Source organism: Homo sapiens, chromosome 3 (genome assembly GCF_000001405.40).
Source record: "Homo sapiens chromosome 3, GRCh38.p14 Primary Assembly".
Lineage (NCBI taxonomy): Eukaryota > Metazoa > Chordata > Mammalia > Primates > Hominidae > Homo > Homo sapiens.
Window position 1 is genome coordinate 56,932,603 of NC_000003.12, and position 6,906 is coordinate 56,939,508.

Genomic DNA, 6,906 nt, shown 5'->3' on the forward strand with positions numbered 1-6,906 from the left:
TTTCGTGCATAAGTCACATCTCTGGTGACTTCTGTGGGATAGATTCCTAGTCGTGGAATTATTGGGCCAATAAACTTACATATGTTTATGGTTCGTGACATAAATAAACAAACTGCTTTCCAGAAAGATGACCAAGTAACACTACCACTGAACACCTGTGACAGAGTCCATCCTACAGTACCCTCACCAGCATTTTGAGTTATCACTTAAAATGCTAATTCTGAAGCTTTAAAAAATTTCCAATCCTCAGACTGACCTGCTGAGGTCAATGATTTCAACTGTTACCTCATTATCAAAATAATCTTCTTTTATCCTTCCAAACAAGATGTTAATTTGTACCACATCAAAACTGCAAACATGAGAGGAATGTAGTCATTTGTTGCATATTCTCATTGGGCAACTAAGGTGCCATGATTAAGAAGCCAAGAACAGTTAGTTCAGTACCAGTCTGCGGCAGTACACAGAGATGCATGCAAAATAAAGTCAGAACCGAATCTACTGCCAAGCGTCACAAGATACACAAGATCTGAATTACCATCAGTCAACACCTATCAGAAGGAATACATAGAATGTTCAAGAATATATTCAGACTACATTTAAAATTCATTCAATAGCTTTTTGCACAACAAATTTTCTTTCTTCCCTCTAAATTGGTACATCTCTCCATATGCAGCAGGAATGTCTTTTTTATTTAAGGGCACATTTACACAAAGAGCAAATGGTCCAGACTCAGTCTTCCATAACCTAGAGTCTGAATTGATCACTCTATAAAATGGAAAAATGTTTCTTTTCTTTTTTTTTTTTTTTTACTTTTTTTTAGTTTTTAACTTTTTTTGAGACAGTGTCTCACTTTGTCAGCTAGGCTAGAGTGCAGTGACACGATCACAGATCACTGCAGCCTTGACCTCCTGGGCTCAGGTGATCTTCCCATTTCAGCCTGCTGAGTAGCTGGGACCACAGGCGCGTGCCATCACACCTGCCTAATTTTTGTATTTTTTGTAGAGACAGGATTTCACGATGTTACCCAGGCTGGTCTTGAACTCCTGGGCTCAAAAGGGTTCACCCGCCTTGGCCTCCTAAATTGCTAGATTACAGGCTTGAGCCTCCATGTCCCAATGGAAAAATTATTTGTAAAAAGGAAAGTTTTTCTAGTATGCTAGAAATGTTTGGGGATTGATATGGTCTGACTCTGTGTCCCCACCCAAATCTCCTCTCAAATTGTAATCCCCATAATCCCCACATGTACAGAAAGGGTCTGGTGGGAGGTGATTGGATCATGGGGGCAGTTTCCCCAATGCTATTCTCATGACAGTGAGTGAGTTCTCACAAGATCTGATGGTTTTATTAGTGTTTAACAGTTCTTCCTTCACACACTTGCTCTCTTGCCTGCCACCATGTAAGATGTGCCTGCTTTCCCTTCCACTATGATTGTATGTTTCCTGAGGCCTCCCCAGCAATGCAAAACTGTGAGTCAGTTAAACCTCTTTTCTTTATAAACTACCCAGTTTCGGGTATTTCTTTACAGCAGTGTGAAAATGGACTAATACATGGATATAGTCCTCACATTCCCTTCCCAGGATATTTGCCCCACTTCACCAACGTTGTCCACAGCTCCTGCTGAGTGAATATAGCATAATAGTAGTAGTAGCAGGGATGGAGAGAATATTTACTGAGCAGTTACTGAGACGTGACAGCGTGCTGGCAGTCCTCAGAGCCCTCGCTTGCTCTTGGCACCTCCTCTGCCTGGGCTCCCACTTTGGCAGCATTTGAGGAGCCCTTCAGCCCACCACTGCACTGTGGGAGCCCCTTTCTGGGCTGGCCAAGGCTGAAGCCCATTCCCTCAGCTTGCAGGGAGGTGTGGAAGGAGAGTCGCGAGTGGGAACTGGGGCTGCGTGCGGTGCTGGCGGGCCAGCTGGAGTTCCGGGTGGGTGTGGGCTTGGCGGCCCCCGCACTCGGAGCAGCTGCCGGCTCTGCCAGCCCAGGGCAATGAGGGACTTAGCACCCGGGCCAGCGGCTGCGGAGGGTGTACTGGGTCCCCCAGCAGTGCCAGCCCACCAGCGCTGCGCTCGATTTCTCACCAGGCCTTAGTTGCCCTCCCACGGGGCAGGGCTTGGGACCTGCAGCCCGCCGTGCCTGAGCCTCCCACCCACTCCATGGGCTCCTGTGCGGCCCCAGCCTCCCCGACGAGCGCCACCCCCTGCTCCACTGCACCCAGTCCCATCGACCACCCAAGGGCTGAGGAGCGCGAGCACACGGCGCTGGACTGGCAGCCAGCTCCACCTGCAGCCCCGCTGCGGGATCCACTAGGTGAAGCCAGCTGGGCTCCTGAGTCTGGTGGGGAGGTGGAGAGTCTTTATGTCTAGCTCAGGGGTTGTAAACACACCAATCAGCACCCTGTGTCTAGCTCAGGGTTTGTGAATGCACCAATCGACACTCTGTATCTAGCTGCTCTGGTGGAGCCTTGGAGAACCTTTATGTCTAGCTCAGGGATTGTAAATACACCAATTGGCAGTCTGTATCTAGCTCAAGGTTTGTAAACACACCAGTCAGCACCCTGTGTCTAGCTCAGGGTTTGTGAATGCACCAATCGACACTCTGTATCTAGCTACTCTGGTGGGGCCTTGGAGAACCTTTGTGTCCACACTCTGTATCTAACTAATCTGATGGGGACGTGGAGAACCTTTGTGTCTAGCTCAGGGATTGTAAACGCACCAATCAGCGCCCTGTCAAAACAGACCACTCGGCTCTACCAATCAGCAGGATGTGGGTGGGGCCAGATAAGAGAATAAAAGCAGGCTGCCCTAGCCAGCAGCGGCAACCCGCTGGGGTCCCCTTCCACAGTGTGGAAGCTTTGTTCTTTCGCTCTTTGCAATAAATCTTGCTACTGCTCACTCTTTGGGTTCACACTGCTTTTATGAGCTGTAACACTCACCGTGAAGATCTGCAGCTTCACTCCTGAGCCCAGCGAGACTACAAGCCCACCGGGAGGAACGAACAACTCCAGACGCTCTGCCTTAAGAGCTGTAACACTCACCACGAAGGTCTGCAGCTTCACTCCTGAGCCAGCGAGACCACGAACCCACCAGAAGGAAGAAACTCCGAACACATCTGAACATCAGAAGGAACAAACTCCACACGCGCCACCTTAAGAGCTGTAACACTCACCACGAGGGTCCGTGGCTTCATTCTTGAAGTCAGTGAGACCAAGAACCCACCAATTCCAGACACATTACTATGTCACAGACCCAGTGCTAAATACTTGATATGATTATTTAAGTCAATCTTCATAATAACCCTATGAGCTACATATGATTTCAGATGGGGAATCTGAATCTCAGTGAGGCTGATTACTTGCCCAAGCTGGTGAGTGACAGATCCATTTGACCTTGACTCTCTGGCCACAGATGACTGAACCAAGAGGTAGAGAAGCCCTTTTAAGAGCTAGCCAGCTGACTGCCCACCACTTGTGAAGCCCAGTGCAAGAAAGAAAAACTGATCCAATTGAAGTTTTCTTAGGGATTTGGGGATGGGGAACCTGAGACTATGCCATAAGCTGTAGGAGAGCGAGCTGCTGAAAGATCACACTGAGTTGGTCCAGAGCTGGCATCATGACAAGCCCAACAGTGCCACATACAAGGAGGAGACACCGGGAGCAGAACCTATAGGTCAGTAACAAGTGAAGGCAGAGAGAGAAGGGGAATGAAACTGACCCACAAAGAGAAGTCCTAGGTTCCTGCAACTATATATTCTCTTATTAAAAAGCCATTTTCTTGAGGTAATGGAGCAAGTGCCTATTCTTTGCCAAAAACTCTGTCTAAAATATTCACCAAAATATGACAGCAGAGACACTCCCCACTCAGGGTCTGAGCTCTCATCAGCGTCTACCCTGCATAGCAAATTAGCATCACTAGTAACAACCCAACTGTGTGCCTCTTAATAAGATGCAAGTAACCGGCATCCCTTAGGATGTTTTCCTGCCCAAAAGTGTTTAACCTAAAACAAATTAAGTCTTTAGATCCAAATTACCAGATTACAAGAAATATATAGAGCTGAAGAACAAGTTAAATGACATCATAGGGAAGCAGTCAGATAAACCCAACTGTGAGACACATTCCAAAGTTCCATGGGTTTTTTTGAGACAGGGTCTCACTCCATTGCCCAGGCTGGACTGCAGTCGCACAATCACAGCTCACTGCAGCCTCCAACTCCAGAGCTCAAGTGATCCTCCCACCTCAGCTGCCCAAGTAGCTGAGACTACAGGCATGCACCACCAAGCCTGGCTAATTTTTGTATTTTTTGTACAGATAGGTTTCGCCATGTTGCCCAGGCTGGTCTTGAACTCCTAAGCTCAAGCAATCCACCCGCCTTGACCTCCCAAAGTGCTGGGATTACAGGCATGAGCCACTGTGCCCAGCCTCCAAAGTTTCAAAAGACAAATTGGTCTTTTCAAAAACTGGAGGGACGAGGGGAGTATCTGAGAATCAAAAAGGCTTAAGAAACATAACAAAATGAAATCATGGTCCTTGATTGGATAAAAACAAACAAAAAATAAATCCAGCTAGATGCAGTGCATGATCCTTGAATGATTTGGGGGAAACCAGTTATAAAAGACAACTGAGAAAATATGAATATAGATGGAATATTAGAATGTTGGAGAATTATTGATAACTTAGGTTTGATGATGATACTATGATAATGTAGGAAAATGTCCTTATAATTAGGACATATATACTGAAATATTTAGATGTGAAGAATCATAGTATCTGTAATTGTGTTACTTTGGAATGGTTTAGTAAAATAAAGCCAAACTGTATCAACAACTAGAGACAAATACATAAAGCAAATGTTAGGAACTGTTAATTCTAGATGGTGAGTGTTTGATGCACTTATCTTTTAACTTTTCCATATGTTTGAAATTTTTCATAATAAAAAGTTGAAAAATAGCGCACAATAAATAAGAATCATGGAAACCATGTAGAAGACAACACATGAAGGCAGACATCCCTTCTCCCAATAGACCACACTCAATAATGCCTCCTCCCTGCTAGAACAAGTATTGTATATACATCTTCAGTTGAGCCCCAGAGGAAGCTGTTGTTTGTTTTTAGGGGGTAGGCTGCACAAAAAGCCCATGTTAACATCTAGAATCACCATCACTCCAATAGGATAGACAGAGGAAATGACAGAGTCACTCATCTAACTTGTGCTGAGTCATAAGTTTTCTCCCCATCCTCTTTTTAATGAAGTGGTTTAGTTCAACCTGCATAAATTAAATGGACTTCCCTGAAGTCAGAGCTTTACACTTAACACAAATTTTCATCTGTCCATAAAAAAGTAATCAGTCTCATTCCCCCTTTTCTCTAAATGAAATGTTAGGTCGAATCAGCCCTGAGGTACAAAAACACATCATGTAGCAGTATTCTGCTGTATAAGAATGTCTCCTCTTCCCTGAATGTGTATTAACCAAGGGGTCAGGTGCTGGTGGTCCTTGCTGCTGCTACAGCATCTAATACCGCTGGTTTTATTTCCAGCACCACGTGGGAGTTGGCAGTAACAGTCATGCACAAAAAAGCTGGTCCTGGAGTTGTGTTCATTGAGATTTCCAGGGTTGGATGGCAGAGAGAGCCTGAGTGGAGACTGACAAATGCAGGAGGCCCAAAAATCAAGGAAGAAAAGAATTTTAATCTTCACACTTATATAGGGCAGCCCATTTTAAAATGGGCCCCATGCAATCAAGATTAATGATTATTAGTTTTTAGAGACTACTAATTTCAATTACGGAGGAAGAATAAGTTTGTAAGACTTATTCATCTTCGATAATAGAATATATTTTAAGTGATGTTACTTATAATTAAGTGGTTAGTAAGTCAAATGTGTGCACCTAACACAGACAAGAAGGGATGGAAGGAGCAAAAGATACCTAATATTCATGAGGCATCTGGTTACACTAAATATGCATGAGACTTACAAGGCACTAAATATACAGAGGCACTAAGAACACATGAGCACGTAACATACATGAGGCCTTAGCTCGGCTCCCCGTTGAAGATAACCTATTCTAGCCTCATGTGTCTTCTGCCCAAGAGATAAAACAGAAATTAGCCAGCTGTTCATCCAGCTAATTGGCAAACCGCAGTACAGACCAGGCGTACTTGTCCCTGAGTCTCTTTGATAAAGCTAGTGTGTGCCACTGGCCCAGGGCGCCTTTGTCTGTGAGTCTCTTGCTTGAAGTTCAACTCCAGTCCTTGTAGATGCATCGTCAGTCATGAAAGCTGACACTGTACAGAGAGATAGGACATTTGGACATTGCGAAGCCCAGGACTCAGGTAGTGTGGTCCTTCCATCCTGCCTGCACTCTCTGTGAAGTGTGTTAATGGATCCCATCTTTTTCCCCTTGCTTCTAGCTGTGTCTTTCAATTGATTTAACGGGCAGTATGATTTGGGCATTTAAAGGGGGGTGGTATTCGAGCCACAATCCAATCTCGTCCAGTCTATTCAGTGGGCCACACTCACTGTGAAGAGGAAGAAGTTGATGACAGAGAAGAAAATCCAATAACAGGACTTTTACCAACCTCCACGCAAGAGGCTTCAATTCCCATTCCCAGATTCAGACACAGGCAGAAAGAGAAATAAACCTAACACGGAGGAAAGAAAGGGAAGTTTCGGCTTCAGAAAAGGAGGATTTTCTAAATAGGTATGTTCCCTCAGTTCTCGACATCACCATCTCCTCTCATGCTTTCAAATACATAAGGCTCTTTTGGAGGTAGCAAGATCACTACCATGACATTTTTGTGTGTGTAATAAAGGCTACATTTGATTAAAATTAAAAATAAAAATTTCAATGAACAGTCATCAATACGACTAACCACAAAACAATACTGAGACTGATTCTTGGACCACCTTCTG

At 44.8% G+C, this 6,906-nt stretch overlaps 1 protein-coding gene across 14 annotated transcripts in view; it reads right to left on the reverse strand.

The window, feature by feature from the left end:
- The window catches only part of ARHGEF3 (Rho guanine nucleotide exchange factor 3), a 351,849-nt gene that overhangs the window by 205,183 nt on the left and 139,760 nt on the right, over positions 1-6,906 (reverse strand). The gene's annotated exons all lie outside the window — the stretch shown is intronic.